The sequence below is a fragment of the Homo sapiens genome, chromosome 11, assembly GCF_000001405.40.
Source record: "Homo sapiens chromosome 11, GRCh38.p14 Primary Assembly".
Lineage (NCBI taxonomy): Eukaryota > Metazoa > Chordata > Mammalia > Primates > Hominidae > Homo > Homo sapiens.
The window spans coordinates 76,861,639-76,878,695 of NC_000011.10; the positions used below are offsets into that span (position 1 = coordinate 76,861,639).

At 39.3% G+C, this 17,057-nt stretch overlaps 1 protein-coding gene across 8 annotated transcripts in view; it reads left to right on the forward strand.

Moving 5' to 3' along the window:
- Positions 1-17,057, forward strand: part of ACER3 (alkaline ceramidase 3) — a 165,880-nt gene that overhangs the window by 721 nt on the left and 148,102 nt on the right. The window lies entirely within an intron of this gene.

Sequence of the window (17,057 nt, forward strand, 5' to 3'; positions counted from 1 at the left end):
TATCCCCCAGGATGTCTTCAAGTACCAGAGGTCATCTGCTCTCTGAGTATGATTATTCAACTGTCATCTTGCACCAGGAGTCGAAGGCATCTTGCACCTAGCCTGTACCTTCTGCCCCTGCCAGGCTCCCAAGAGCACAGAGGACCAAGTCCCTGCTCCATTCTGTCCTATCCAACTATCTAGGAGTTAGGGGTCATCTGAGGACACTACTTCCACCGACTGCACCTTCTGAGGATTTAAGCATTCTTCTTTAGCGGCTGCTCTGTCAGGCACTGCTGGTCAGGTTGGGCTTGTTCTGTGTGCCTATGTGGGTGTCTGTCTGTTTTCCTAGACGATTTTTCCTGCCAGGCTAGGAGAAATCTGCCACTTCTTTTTCTATCATTTAATCAGGTTTTGAGAGCACAATATTTGATCCTTCTTTTAGGTACCTGCTTCTGGCAAAGTGCAAAGACTATCCTTTGGCTAATGATTACTGCCTTCTTTTAGTTGGATCTACTTCTCAGGACGTGAAGTGAAACTCTTCTTAGCTAACCTTCTCATTGTTGAGTCCTGTTCTCAGGCATCTGTGCATGGCTTTGTAGGAAAGAGGCAAGCATATCATGACAAATGGTCCCACTTTATTCTGTTCTGGTAATTGGCTAAGTTTCAAAAAAAAAAAAAAAGAACACTTTTTGCAGTTTTCAGGACTTTAGTACTATTCTCTTATGACCATGATTTAGGCTAAGAGTCACTTTTCTTCAACTATTAAATTAATAATTTTTACATAATCATGGAGAAATATTGGCAAAGGGATCATTTGTAATACAATTACTTGGGAACCCACATGTTGGCAAAGGAAGCGCTTTACCAGTTTGTTGTTAGATCACTTTGGCAAGCCCATGCCTGGTCCAGAGAACCATGACCACGAGGAAAGAGATGTAAAACCATGCACTCTGCGCTGGAAATGTGTAACATGGAAAAGAGGAATTCAAGAGTCTTCAAATATTGGATGGGCTATCATATAGAATAATTTTTTTTTAATTTATTTGGAATCTGGAATTAGGGCATATGGGCAGAAACTAACTGTAATGGGGAAAAGTTTGCTTCAATATAAGGAAAAACCTTCTCACCAATGATATGGGAAAGGTTGACTTGGGGGACAGAGGACTTTCTGTCACTGAAAGTGTTAAATCAGACATTGTTCAATGAACTCAATATTTTCGAAGGAAAAAATTATTTAATAGAGAAAAGGGGCTGGCCTTAGTTGCAGCTTTATGGGTCTATGTAGGTAATAATGACTCTTAGTTTAGAACCAAGAAAAAACTGGGCTGGGCATCGTGGCCCATGCCTGTAATCCCAGCACTTTGGGAGGCCAAGGCAGGAGGACTGCTTGAGGCCAGGAGTTTGAGTCCAGCCTGGGCAACATAGTGAGACCCTGTCTCCATAAAAAATAAAAAAAATTAGATATGCATGGTGGTTTGTGCCTGTAGTCCCAGCTACTTAGGAGACTGAGGTGGGAAGATCACTTGAGCCCAGGAGTTCAAGGTTGCTGTGAGCTGTAATTATGCCACTGCACTCCAGCCTGGGCAAGAGTTAGACCCTATTTCTACAAAAAAAATATAAAAAATGCAAAGAGAGAAAACTGGCGGTAAGTCATGTGGACTCTGAGAGAGCAAGATACTGTGTTCTGGCAGATAGCTCTGAGAAATGGGAAATGACATTTGTTCTCAATGTGCTCAGAAGAGGAAACTCTGAGCAGACTGCAGGGAGGGTTTTGACATAGGAATCAGAGGGGTTGCAAGAAGAGGATGAGTGAATGTTTGCAGCCCTTTGCGCATGCACCTTGGGAGAAAATCATCTGGAGGAAGTTGAGGTCAAGTCATCTTACCATAGCAAGTCATGAGTATCTACAGTAATATATCTTGGACTAAGATAATTTGATCTTTGAAAAATATGCTGATTAATAATAATATGTTTAAAATATGTGTTTAAAGCAAGTGCAATATTAACATCACGATAGTATTTACATTAACAATAGTATTGATGGTAATATTAAGGATAATGTAATAATAGCTATTATCTAAGTGGTCACTTGTACTACACTTTGCTAAGCACTTCATATATCTTATCTCTTTTGATCTTTACAGTAATTTCAAAAAGAAGGTATTATTATCCCCATTTCAAAGATAAGGAGATTGAAGTTCTAAGAAATAATTTACCTAAGATTACAGTAAGTGATGTAGAGATAGTGTTCACATTGAAGTCTGACTCTAAAGCTACTATCCATGTTACCTCTCCATCATTACTTCTATCACACATTCATTGTTTTGCCCCTATATTCAAGAAAGGAAGACAGATATGAAATACTATGCTATCACACAGGACAAATTGAACAACTATTCAGTTTACTCAACCATCTTTCAACTATCTTTCAGCATTAGAATATATGTATTTTAGGGAATAATGAAGTGTTTGGGGAATTGCATATTCAGATATGGCAGTAGTTCTCAGTCACTTTCAGCACCCGAAAACTGTCTTCCTAGCATCAGCCAAGATCAGTTTAAATTCCTTTTGTTTGAGCATATTGTAAAGACCAGAGGAAAAGGTCTCTCATTGTGAAATAATAAGCCCCTTGACCTGCCAGAAGTTAGAGGTACAGGCAGTCCTTGCTTTGCATCATAGTGTGGGACCACACAAATGACTGTGCAAGTTAAAACCAGGTAACACTATGTTAATAATCAATGGGAAAAGTTATGATTGTTCTGTGATCTTTAAAACTTTTTGTCAAACATTGTAAACTCTCTTACTGTTGGTTATGAATATGTAGGGAAATGAAAAAAGTAAGCATATTTATTTAGTATACTTTAAAACATTAAAAACATTGAGAAATAAACTATTTTGTTTATAAAAATCACTTATCAAGAGTAATTAAAACAGTGCTTGCCTTTTTGTCACATAACTCATAATATGGAATGGGTATTTTTTTTTTTTTTTTTTTTTGAGGTAGAGTCTCGCTCTGTTGCCTAGGCTGGAATGCAGTGTCGCGATCTCGGCTCACTGCAACCTCCACCCCCTGGGTTCAAGCAGTTCTCCTGCCTCAGCCTCCCAAGTAGCTGGGATTACAGGCGCATGCCACCACGCCTGGCTAATTTTTGTATTTTTAGTGGAGACGGGGTTTCACCATTTTGGCCAGGCTGGTCTCGAACTCCTGACCTCAAGTGATCCACCTGTTCAGCCTCCCAAAGTGCTGGGATTACAGGCGTGAACTTCCATGCCCAGTTGTCTTTTTTCTTTTAAATTAATTTTTTTTTTTTTTTTTTTTTAGCCAGCTACAGCTACACTAATGAGGGCCAACAGGTTTTTGGATTTTTCTTGAGACAAGGTCTCCCTCTGTTGCTTAGGCTGGAGTGCAGTGGCACAATCACAGCTCACTGCAGCCTCGACCTCCCAGGCTCAAGTGATCCTGCCACCTCAGTACCCCATAGCTGGGACTACAGGCGTGTGCCACCATGCCCAGCTAATTTTTTTTTTTTTTTTTTGGATTTTTAGTAGAGACAGGGTTTTGCCATGTTGCCCAAGCTGGTCTCAAACTCCTGAGCTCAAGCAGTCCTCCCACCTCAGCCTCCCAAAGTGTTGAGAATATAGGCATGAGCCACCATGCCCAGCCGGGATGAGTACTATCCCTTCATGAATTCTTTTCTAATTTGTATCAGCTTCCAAAATTTATCCTTTGCACTTTTAAGATTGTGAAATCTCTCCAAGAGTTCCTTTAATGCAAAGTTTTTTTTGTTAGCATAATTTCTCCTGGGACATCTTTATCCTTTTCACCACAACTACTTTATGCATTTACGTTGATAAGTTTGCCTTCTCTTTCTCTGAATTCCTCAGATTGCATTTTTTTTTTTTTTCCAGACGGAATCTCGCTCTGTCACCCAGGCTGGAGTGCAGTGGCGCAATCTTGGCTCACTGCAACCTCCAGCTCCTGGGTTCAAGCAATTCTCGTGCCTCAGCCACCCACATAACTGGGATTACAGGAGTGCACCACCATGCCCAGCTAATTTTTGTATTTGTAGTAGAGACGGGGTTTCACCATGTTGGCCAGGCTGGTCTCAAATGCCTGACCTGCAGTGATTCACCTGCCTTGGCCTCCCAAAGTGCTGGGATTACAGGTGTGAGCCACCTTGCCCAGCATCTTTTTTTTTTTTTTTTTCTTTTTTGAGACGAAGTCTCATTCTGTCGCCCAGGCTGGAGTGCAGCGGCGTGATCTTGGCTCACTGCAACCTGTGCCTCCTGGGCTCAAGCAATCCTCCCAGCTCAGGCTCCCAAGTAGCTGGGAGGCACGCACCACCATACCTGGCTAATTTTTGTTTTTTGTTTTTTTTTTTTTTGGTAGAGATGGGGTTTCACCATGTTGGCCAGGATGGTCTTGAACTCCTGGCCTCAAGTGATCTGCCCACCTCAGCCTCCCAAAGTGCTGGAATTATAGGTGTGAGCCACTGCACCCAGCCCCTCAGACTACATATTTAGAGTCCCTTGAATGGCAGTAGCGTCAGCATTCTTATGGTTAGCTATTTCTTCTATAATTCTGTTTATGTTTGATTGGAATTTCACTTCCAACATTATACATTTTTGTTTCTCTGCTACCCTTACATCATTCTTGGCCAATTCTCTCCTTCTGTTACTCAATTTTGTAACATGGCACATAAGTTTATCACCAGGAGACAAGGAGGCAACTCAACTACATGCTTTGCTTTCTGTACATGAACTGAATAACTGGTACCAGGTTCACTGTGACTGATCATCAACAGACAGTGAAAGAAGTGACCTGGTTGGTCACTGATGGTGATGTACTTCTGTTATTTGTATACTGATTTGTGGACTTAAGATGTAGCAGTGAAGTTTGTACTATATTCAGCTACTCACAATTAGTATACAGTGGTAACTGAAATTTGAATTGTGTCATTGGGTAATTGGTGTTATTTAACTAAACTATGATAACTGAAATTTGAGGATATTGGAACCCTGCAAAGTGAAGACTGTATTTCTAATCCTCAGAACATTCCTATCAAGGAACGTTAGATGTTGTTACCCCATTGTAAAGAGAAGGACACTGAGTCTTGGAGAAGTTAGTTAAATAAGCAGCTCAGCATCATACAGCTATTAAGAGGCAGAAATGGTATTCAAATTTAGGTCTCACAACTCTTTCTACCAAGACATACTATCTATACGAAGTGGAGTTTCAGGTGCTGTTGGTTTAATGGAAGAAATACTACATAAAGGGAAATGGAGGGGAATAAGATTTACCTACAGCTTCATGATGTGAGCCATCATGCCCAGGCCATATTTTCTTTATTCATTTTTCTGACAGCGTAAACTTGGGTTACTTCTACCTCTTGGCTATTGTGAATAATGCTGCTGTGAATATGGGTGTTCAGAAAAGAATTACCCGGTTAAAAGTCATTCAAAATGTTTTATTTATTCAGCAGATATTTACTGAGTACCTATTTTGTCACTGACTAAGGCTATAAAACCATTTGAAGACAGCTTCTCTGTTCAAAGTAGCTGAGAGGGCCAGGCATGGTGGCTCATGCCTGTAATCCCAGCACTTTGGGAGGCCAAAGCAGACAGATCACTTGAGGTCACGAGTTGGAGACCAGCCTGGCCAACATGATGAGACACCGTCTCTACTAAAAATACAAAAATTTGCCAGGTGTGGTGGTATGTGCCTGTAGTCCCAGCTGCTTGGGAGGCTGAGGCAGGAGAATCACTTGAACGCTGGAGGCGGAGGTTGCAGAGAGCTGACATTGTGCCACTGCACTCCAGCCTTGGTGACAGAGTGAGACTCTGTCTCAAAAAAAAAAAAAAAAAAAAAAAAAAAAAGAAAGAAAAGTAGCTGAGAGGGCAGCAGGAGTATGAACAGACAAGTATAAACAGGCACATTTGTTTCTTTCAGGTGAAATGCATTCCCAAAAACATATTTGATCATGGAATGTCCAAGAATTGACATATTATGATGAAGGGTTTATTTATCAGAAAGCTAAAAAATAAAAATAAATAAATAAAAGAAAGCTAAAAAATACATGAAAATTCCCAATTATGGTTTTTATAGGGCTTACCTCAGTCTGAGGAGGTAACCTGGTTGGTATGACTTTCATGGATGGGAAGAATGGCTGTTGTGATGTTGTATGATCATCTTGCCATATCCTTTTGTCCATGAGTGAGAATGGTTCAAGCTAGGTATTGTTCCTTCTCATAGGTTTGCTGCCTCTCTCCCCATCCTATTCATAGGAAGTGGGCAGAAGGAAAGTAGGGCAGCCCTCAGTCTCTATACCTTTACTATGGGATTCACTTAGATGGGGGAACAAGGTCTTTTTTTTCCTTGCTGCTGCAGCACAAGACAAAAGGGGCTTTAATCAGCTATCTCTGCCATACAGGTATGCCATGAAAGGCATTTGACTGCTTGTAGCCCTTTGCTATATTTCTTTTCTTTTCCTTTTCTCAGGTTCCTTCCTACCATCCTCCCTGAAGAGCAACCTCAAGTTAGTGAGCACACATCAGGCTTCTTTTTTGGTCTTGGGACTCTGGGCTGGCAGAGGTGACATCCCTGTCATATGAAGGAAGATGCTCCTTTCTCTGAAGGTTATTGACAGGCAAGCAGCACTGCCTCCAAATTATAACTCAAAAGTTCATAAGTCAACTGAAGAATGAAGGCCAAATGAAAGGACAAATTGAGTGTACAAAAGAGTTTAGTTTTAATATCTCTCTCTCTCTCTCTGTGTGTGTGTGTGTGTGTGTGTGTGTGTGTGTGTGTGTGTATAGCCCATGGTTCCTGGCTCATAACTCTCATATCCCTTTTTAGAGTCTTTTATTATAATGTTGGGGCACTGTAGGCCTCAAAACAGGCCTTAGGAAACAGAATCTCCATCTCTCTGGTCTTCCCCTGCCCTTCTTTCACCTACCCAAGGCAGGACTCTAATCTGACTGTGGGTCACAAGACCCTCATTACAGAGAGAGTCCTGCCTCATACCCTGGAGGAAGGAATGCTGCAGAGAGAAGCCAAGAGGAATCTGAACAGACAGGCTTTGCTGGGTTTCCCCATTCAGTCTATTAATATTAGACTATACCTTTTTTGTCCAATCATATTTCAACATGGTTGTTCATGCTTCAATCATGCCTATCCAGTGAAGTCTCCATAAAAGGTTCAAGAGGACAGGGTTTGGAGAACTTCTGGATAGCTGAACACGTGGAGACTGACAGGAAGGTGAACAAGAACTCATCCACATAGTAGGATGGTGCTGCGCTCCAAATCTATGGGGACAGAACCTCCTGTGCTCAGGACCCTTCCAAACCTGCCCCTGGGTATCTCTTCTTCTGGCTGTTTATTTGTAAACTTTGAAATATCCTTTGTAATAAACTAATAAACCTGTTTACCTGGGTTCTGTAAGCTGCACTAGCCCTAGCCCCGGACTTGGGACAGATGTCTGAAGGAAGGGGGCAGTTCTGGGGACTGAGCCCTCAACCTGTAGGAGCTGACACTATCTCGAGGTGGATAATGTTGGAATTGAATTGGAGGACACCCAGCTGGTGTCTGCTGTAGAACTGATTGCTATAGAACTGATTGGGTTTCCCCACACACACTTGGTCACAGAAGTCTTCTGTGATGATTGTTGGGTTGTGAGAACAGAGGAAAAACACAGTTTGAGTTGATATATGCAGACAGCATCCAAGTCAGACTGCCAGTTAATTGTTTTAGGTGCTATGATCGCTTATTACAAACTTAAAACATAGATAGGTTCATAAAGGTTTTATAGCGTTAGTGCTGCAAGAGCTGCCATACCAGCTATTTATTTATTTTTAATTATGGAAAAATACATGTAACATAAAATTTATCTTCTTAACCATTTTAAATGTACATACAGTTCAGTAGTCAATAGTGTTAAGTACATTCACACTGTTGGGCAATCAATTTCCAGAACTCTTCATCTTACAAAACTAAAACTCTGTATCCATTAAACAACTCCCCGTTTTCTCCTCCTTCTAGTCACTGGCAACCACCTTTTCTACTTTTCTGTCTCTATAAATTTGACTACTCTAAGTACCTCATATAAGTAGAACCATACAGTACTTGTCTTTTTGTGAGTGTTTTATTTCACTTAGTGTAATGTCCTCAAGGTTCATCCATGTTATAGCAATCAGAATTTCCTTCCTTTTCAAGGCTGTATAATATTTTATTATATGTATTTGCCACATTTTCTGTTTTTTGAGAAAGGGTCTCATTCTGTTGCTTAGGCTGGAGTGCAGTGGCGTGATCGTGGCTGACTGTAGCCTTGACCTCCTAGGCTTAAGTGATCCTCCCACCTCAGCCTTCCAAGTAGATGGGACCACAGATGCGGGACACCACACCTGGCTACTTTTTTTATTTTCCGTAGAGATGAGATCTTACTATGTTGCCCAGGCTGGTCTCAACCTCCTGGGCTCAAGTGATCCTTCCAACTCAGCCTTCCAAGTAGGTGGGACCACAGATGTGTGCCACCACACCTGACTAATTTTTTTATTTTCTGTAGATACGAGGTCTCACTATGTTGCCCAGGCTGGTCTCGACCTCCTGGGCTCAAGTGATCCTCCCACCGTCTCAACCTTCCAAGTAGATGGGACCACAGATGCATGCCACCACACCTGTCTATTTTTTTTATTTTTGTAGAGATGAGGTCTCACTATGTTGCCCAGGCTGGTCTCAAACTCCTGGGCTCAAGTGATCCTCCCACCTCAGCCTGCCAAGGTGCTGGGATTACAGGTGTGAGCCACCATGCTCGGGTCACATTTTTTATTCATTCTTCTGTCAGTGTACACTTGGGTTGCTTCTACTTGGCTATTGTGAATAATGCTCCTGTGAACATGGGTGTACAAATATCTCTTCAAGACCCTAAAGGTGGAACTGCTGGACGATGTGGTAGCAGAGTAGCTATTTTAACCTTTTCATTATAAAGAAACCTTTTAAAAAATTTCTTTCATGGGTGCCATGAATTTATTGTCACTCTTACATAAATTTTAATTTATTATTACTCCTACATAAGTTACAATTGTTAATGTACTTTATCCCTGTTTTAATTAATCAAAGGTACATGTAACCCAATCAGATAAGTTCTAGATACTATTACCATGCTGTAATGATTATATGAGATACAGCCACTAATTAGTTTAATGCATTGATATAAAACAAAACAGCATAATATTTTCATTACAGTCTTCTTGTGGATAAATGTGATTTTTGAAATATTAAAAATAGCCAGTAGAAATAATAATAGCTAACATTTATGGGGTTTAATGTACAAAGTTCTATGAGTGTATTTCCTGATAATAACTCTTATTACAATCCTTACAACGACTCTTAACTTAGGTTCTGTAGTCCTGTTTTAAAGATCTGGAAATTTTAGGGCAGAGAGGGATTAAATAATTTGTCTAAAGTTTTCCACTTTGCAAGTGGCAAAGCGAAGATTTAAACTCATGCTCTCTGACTTCCAGAGTGCATTCTTACTCTCTCTCTTCCTGTTTTACTTTTGCAATTAGCTTTTTGAGGTATAATTTACTTACAATAAAATGCATCTGTTTTAAGTATATAGTGTAAAGCAAAAAGTATCTGAGAAAGGTTTCAGTCAATTTACAAGTTTATTTTGCCAAGGTTAAGGATCACAACCTGTGACAGAGCCTAAGGAAGTCCTGAGAACATGTGCCTAAGGTGGTTGGGTTACAGCTTGGTTTTATGTTTTAGGGAGACATTAGATGTCAATCAGTACATGTAAGGTATACATTGGTTCAGTCTAGAAAGGTGGGACAACTTGAAGTGGTGAGTAGGGGGCTACAGCTTACAGGTCATAGGTGGATTTAAAGATTTTCTGATTGGCAATTGGTTGAAAGAGTTAAGTTATTATTTAAATCCCTGGAATCAATAGCAATCAGTATCTGGGTTAAGATAAGGGTTTTTAGAGACCAAGGTTCTTATTATGTAGATGAAGTCTCATTGATGGCTGCCCTTAGAGGCAATAGATGGCAAATGTTTCCTATTCAGACCTCTAAAAGATGCTAGACTCTCAGCTACTCTCTTCAGGATCAGAAAACGAGCTGGAAAGGGAAGGGAATTCTCTATAGAATGTAAATTTCCTCTACAAGAGACAGCTTTGCAGGGCCATTTCAAATTATGTCAAAAAATATATTTTGGGTAAAGTACTTTGATTTGTTTCAGGGCCTTGCTATTTATCATGTGATGGTATGTTAGAGTCACGTTGGAATTTGGTATCTTGTTGCTACAAAAAGTCTGTTCTGTCAGTCTTAGGATCTCTATTTTTTAATGCTGGTCAATTGTGTGCCTGAACTCCAAAGAGTGTAATGAAGCATATCTGACCCCTCTCCCCACCCACCACCCCCATTCATCCCCCAACTTTACCCCCCAAACCCTGGCATAGGCTGAACTTTTTTTTTTGAGACTGAGTCTTGCTCTGTCGCGGAGGCTGGAGTGCAGTGGCACCACCTTGGCTCACTGCAACCTCTGCCTCCTGGGTTCAGATTATTCTCCTGCCTCAGCCTCCCAAGTAGCTGAGATTACGGGCATGTGCCACCACCCCCGCTAATTTTTATATTTTTAGTAGAGACAGTGTTTCACCATGTTGGCCAGGCTTGTCTCGAACTCCGGACCTCAGGTGATCTGCCTGCCTTGGGCTCTCAAAGTGCTGGGATTACAGGCGTGAGCCACCACACCCAGTCTTGAAGCAGCCATTTAATCCCAAAACTATGCACTTAACTACCACACTACCCTGCCTTCCTCCCTTACCACTTTTTTAGACCCCAGTGAGTCCAGGGACTTTATGTTGGGAACTGGTGATCTAATGTTCTCATTTTACAAATAAGGAAAAAGACCTTAAGAAGTGGTCTGCCTAAGATTACATTGAAAATTAGTGGTGAAGCCTAGATCAGAATCCATGTTTAGTAGTTTCTCAGTCTGGAAAATGATGGAGCTGAGGAGGAGGATGTCATTATTGTTGATGTCATATTGTTAATGGGTTACCATATCACAGGACTTCTCCAAACAAAAAGTTTCTAATGAACTGTTTTATTATGGTGAAGATACCTAACATCTATGAAGTGCTTTACAACAATGGGCCTCAGACTTTAATGTGTATGTGGATTACCTGAGAATCTTGTAAAAACATATTCTGGTTTAGTAGATATGGAATGTGGCCTTAGAGTCTGCATTCCTTTTTTTCTTTTTCTTTTCTTTCTTTCTTTCTTTTTTCTTTTTCTTTTTTTTTTTTTTTTTTGAGACAGGGTCTCATGCTGTTGCCCAGGCTGAAGTTCAGTGGCATGATCATAGCTTACTGTAACCTCAAACTCCTGGGTTCAAGGGATCCTCCTGCCTCAGACTCCCGAATAGCTAGCACTACAAGTGTCTGCCACCATACCTGGTGATTTTTTTATTTTATTTTTTGTAGAGATGCAGGGAATCTCGCTATGTTGCCCAGGCTGGTCTCGAACTCCTGGCCTCAAGCGATCCTCCCAAAGTGTTGGGATTACGGGCATAAGCCACCACGCCTGGCTGAGTCTGCATTTCTTAAAAGCTATCAGGTGATTCCAGTGCTGCTGGTCTGGAGACTACACTTGGAGAAACAAGGCTTTAACATCCACAAAGTATTTTTATATCTTTTCTCAGTGTTATCTCTGTTTGTATGTAAGGAAAGTAAGTTCAAAAGGATAAGCAGTTTGTTAAGGATCACAGGGCTGGTACTGGAACCTGGGTTTCTAACTTTGCAAACCAAGTTAGGTGTTGATTACCCTGCACAGTAACAGTAGGCTGATAACCTGTATATGAAGGAAAGCTTGAAAAGGATCATTCTGGGTAATGAGTTAAGTTGAACTTTTTTATTTCAGAAACAATTTTCATCCTTATTTTCTCTTAGTACCTTTCCCAAGCTTAAATGAAATCACCTTTTAGTCTCAAGTCTGTAGTTAGCAGCTAGAGCTTAGTAGGTACTTGAAGGCTAAGTACATTTGGAAGTCTAATCTTAGTATTTGCTCAAGTATTCAAAGGTATTAACTGGGAAGAATTGTCATTTGGTAGCACATTTTGGAAGAAATGATTGATTTTTTTTTTTAAGTGGAACAGTAATTGTGGTGTGTGTATGTGTAAATAAGGACAGTACAATTCCTCAAACAGTAATTTGGGGAACATCACTGAGATAGAATACATAGTATAGTAAACATTTAAATGAAAGTCTTGTCCACTCCATTCTTGTTTCAGGTTAAGATTTTAAGTTGTTTTTTCAGTTTTTAGAATCTACCTTTGTTCCTTTGCCAGCTATTTCCAATAATGGGAAAAAACTCACCTGGAGAGTTTTAGGTAGTGCAGAATATTCAAAAGAAGTAAAGGCATGAAGAAACATTTTAAGACCCAGCAAAATGATAGATCCAAAAGGGACAGTAAAAGCATTTTATGGTTGCATGAAAGTCCTAGATATTTTATTTTGGGGAAAGTACATGGTATAATGGAACAGCTGGCCATTGGACTTGGAATCAGAATCAAGATTCCTATCTGGACTTCACTCTGTTGAGCCTGTGACTTTGGGCAAATCACTTAGCCTTATCAAATATCATTTTTCTCATTTTACAAAAACTGATAAAAAGAATGGTTATGAGATTTAAATGGCAGGATGCATGTGAAAACACACTGTGAAGTACCTGGCAAATATTAGGTACTTAATAAAGATGAGTTGAATTGGAATCTAATAAAAATAAGTTAAAAAAAAAAAACAAAACTAACCCATGCTGTATAACAGTTGTGGCTTCCTTACCTGTGGTGATTAGTTTTATTTGTGAACTCGGCTAGGCTATAATATCCACTTATTTAGTCAAACACTTATCTTGGTGTTGCTATGATGGTATTTAGTAAATGTGGTTAATATCTGTAATCAGTTGACTTTAGGTAAAGGAGATTACTCTCAATAACATGAATGGCCTCATCCAATCATTTAAAAGGCATTAAGTGCAAAAGCTAAGGTTTCCAGGATAAGAAATTCTGCCTTAAGTTTGCAGCATCAGCTCCTGCCTGAGTTTCTAGGGTGTGGGAGGTGGGGACGGGGGCAGTTAAAGCTTTATTTTGGGAGGTCTACTTGATTCCTTACTTTGGTGGACTTTCCATTTCTCCTTTTCTCCCTCCCTTCTTTCTTCTTTGATTTGTTTTTAAATTCAGGATTTTTAGATGTTTTCTGTGGGAGGTTCAATTAGATTATCTATATGTCACATATCCTTAAGCTGATGCTTTTGCACATGCTGTTGGCTTGTCGTTTGTCATTTGTAACTGCATTCTCTGAGTCAGTGGATATCTCTTTAAATCTTGACTGATTACTTCTTAGAGAATTAGGTGCTTTTTCTGTTTCCCTTTGAGGACTTTCTATTGACTAAAGCATAAAGACCAAATTCTAACATGGCATGAAAAGCACTTCTTTTTTTTTTTTTTTTTTTTTTTTTTAGATGGAATCTCACTCTGTTGCCAGGCTGGAGTGCAGTGGTGAGATCTTGGCTCAGTGCAACCTCCACCTCCTGGGTTCAAGTGATTCTTGTGCCTCAGCCTCCCTAGTAGCTGGGATTACAGGCGCAGGCCACTACACCGGGCTAATTTTCGTATTTTTAGTAGAGATGGGGTTTCACTATGTTGGCCAGACTGGTCTCGATCTCCTTACCTCGTGATCCATCCACCTCAGCCTCCCAAAGTGCTGGGATTACATAAAGGCGTGAGCCACCGCGCCCGGCCAACATTTCATTTTTTTAAGATGAAATTTTTATGCATACAACAAAGTTGGAAGAATTCTTCAGTGAATATCCATTCACCCACTATCTCAATTCTACCATTAACATTTTATTACACTTGTTTTTATCACATACCGATTCATTTTTCCATTCCTTTCTCCATCCATCAGTTCATTTTATTTTTTGATACATTTCGAAGTAAACTGCAGACATCTGTTTGCTTTCCTCTAAATACTAAAGCATATCATTAAAGTTTAATTCCTTGTTTTTTTTTTCTTTTGATGTAAAATTTACATTCAATGTAATACACAGTTTTTGTTGTTTTTTTTTTTTTTTTTTTTTTTTGTGGAGTCTCACTGTGTTGCCGAGGCTGGAGTGCAGTGGCATGATCTCAGCTCACTGCAACCTCCCCGTCCCAGGTTCAAACGATTCTCCTGCCTCAGCTTCCCAAGTAGCTGGGATTATAGGAGAGCACCACCACACCCGGCTAATTTTTGTATTATTAGTAGAGACAGGGGATTACAGGCACGTGCCACCACACCCAGTTAATTTTTTCATTTTTTTGTAGAGACATGGTTTCACCATATTGGCCAGGATGGTCTTGAACTCCTGACCTCAGGTGATCCACCCACCTCAGCCTCCCAAAGTGCTGGGATTACAGGCATGAGCCACCACGCCCAGCCTGTAATACACAAATCTTAAGTTATTTTTGCTGGATTTTGAGAAATGCATACACCTATGTAACAACCTCTATCAAGATGTGGAACTTTACCATCAGCCAGGAAAGTTCCCTCATGCCCCTTCTCTGTTAATCCCCACCTCCATCTTACCCCTTCTTTCCAGCACAACCACTGTTCTGATTTTTTTTTTTTCCCTACCATAGATTAGGTTTGCCTGTTCTAGAACTGCATAGAAATGGACTTGTCTAGTATTTACTATTTCGGGTAAGGCTTCTTTTGTTCAGCATGTTTTTGAGATTCATCCATATTGCTATGTGGTAGGATTCCACTGTATGAATATACCAGTTTATTAACCCATTTTCCTGTTGATGGACACATGGCTGTTTTTAGGTGTGGACAATTATAAGTAAAGCTGCTATAAACATTCTTGGGCAGATCATTTTGTGGATATATATTTTCGTTTCTCATAGGTAAATGCTTAGGATTGGAATAATTGGGTCATAGAGTATGTGTATGTTTAGTTTTATTAGATACTGCTAGACCTTTTCCCAAAGTGGTTGTACCATTTTACACACAGAGCATTTGATCCACATCCTTGTCAACATTTAGTGTCAATTTTTCAAATTTTAGTCATTCTGGTGGATGTGTGGTTGTATCTCATTGTGCTATCCAGTTTATTTTTAACTCTTGTCTTCTTTCGTTTCCTTGCCCTACTTACATTTCAGTCTTGCCAAAACAAGCTATTTACATATACATTAATACCCTGTGCACTTTTTATTGTTCATATTGTTCCCATGAGAGGTAATAATAAATTTGTTTTAAAATCATGAAGTTTGTGATGGTTATTCAGCAATAAATAACTGAAAACTGTGTCTGAAGTTGAGTTTTGAGAAATTTTGATTTTCTGTTGTGAAAACTCAGAGTATGTCATATTATACCATGCCTTTTATTCTTAGAAGATGAGACTAAAGAATAAAGATTAGTACTTTTATAAGCCCATCTGAAGATTTCAAAAAATTTTATAAGCATCATTTTATTTATACCTGCAATGTACTCAAGACTCCAAAGAGTTATTTTACCCAATGAAAGCAAGTAAGTACCTCAGGGTTGAAATAATTCAGTTTTGAAGCTGGAAAAAAAATCTTTGACTCATCATAGGTGTAGACTCTCGCTCTAACATATGTTCTTTAACTTTTCAGAGCATGCAGCTTTTAACAGCAAGTAGAAGGACTGGCTAGAGTCAGAACTCCAAAACTATGCATGTTAAAATCTTGATGCTGCTATAAAAGCTGTGTTTTTATGATCTTCACTCACTTATTCATTTATACAAAATGATAAGGAGAGATTCTAGATAAGATACTTTTCCTGAAATGAAACATTATGGTTTCTAAGCTATTTCACCTTCTGAGTAGCAATTTTTCCTTTTTTTCCCCCCCATTTCTTTTTTTAAGCAGATATGAGGGCAATCTGTCTTTGTCTCCTGAAATCCCATTGATCACTAGAGTTGATCTAATTAATCTTGTCAATCAGATGGCTGTTTTGTGTTCAGAAAGTCCAACCTAAAGGTTGACAAATGAAGAGAATTATGACCTTGATAAAGGAGGACAGTCCTTTGGTTAAGAGCAGTCATCATTGAAGAAACATTTAGCACCCTCTGTGTCCTTCCCTGATCCCATCTTCTTCCTTTTCCTCTGGAGATAACCAGTATACTTAATTTAGTGTTTATCATTTCCTAGCTTTTACCACTTTGCATTCCTAAAAATAAACTGTTCAGGTTTGCTTGTTTTATATTTTATATAAGTGGAATTGTACTATATGTACATTCTTCCACAGCTTGCTTTTTTTTTTTAAACACAAATTGTGCTTATTAGTATCATTCATGCTCCTGAGAATTGACTGTGTTGATGGATGTAGATATAATTCATTTATTTTTGCTGTTGTTTAGAATTCCACTGTATGAATACATTCATTTATCCATTCTTTAATCATTGGACATTTTGTTGTTTCCAGGTTTTTGCTGTTACAGATAAGGCTGCTGTGAACATTCTTGTGCATCTTCTGGTACACAGAAATGTAAGGGTTTCTGTGTATACTTAGGAGTGTAATTGTTAGAATATAGGTCATGCTCATATTCAACTTTAACTATTAGGTTGGTGCAAAAGTAATTGCGGTTTTTGCCATTACTTTCAATGGCAAAACCCTCAATTACTTTTGCAATGACCTAATAGAAATTCTCGAATTTTTTGGTCTCATGACCCCTTTACACATTTAAAAATTATTGAAGACCCCAAAGAGCTCTGTGAGTTAAATCTATTGGTATTTACTGTATTAGAAGTTAAAACTGAAAAAAGTTAAATCTTTATTAATCCATTTAAGATTCGTATTTTTGAGAAATGAGATTTTTCTATGTGTTGTATCAGTAGTATGTTTCTTTTGATTGCTGAGTGGTATCCCACTGTATGAATGTAATAGTTTATCTGTTTTCCTATTGACAGATACCTGGGCTGTTCCCAGTTTTTGGCTATTATGCATGAAGTTGAACATTCTTATACAAGTCTTTTTGTGAATGTATATTTTCATTTTTCTTGAATAAATATCTAGGAT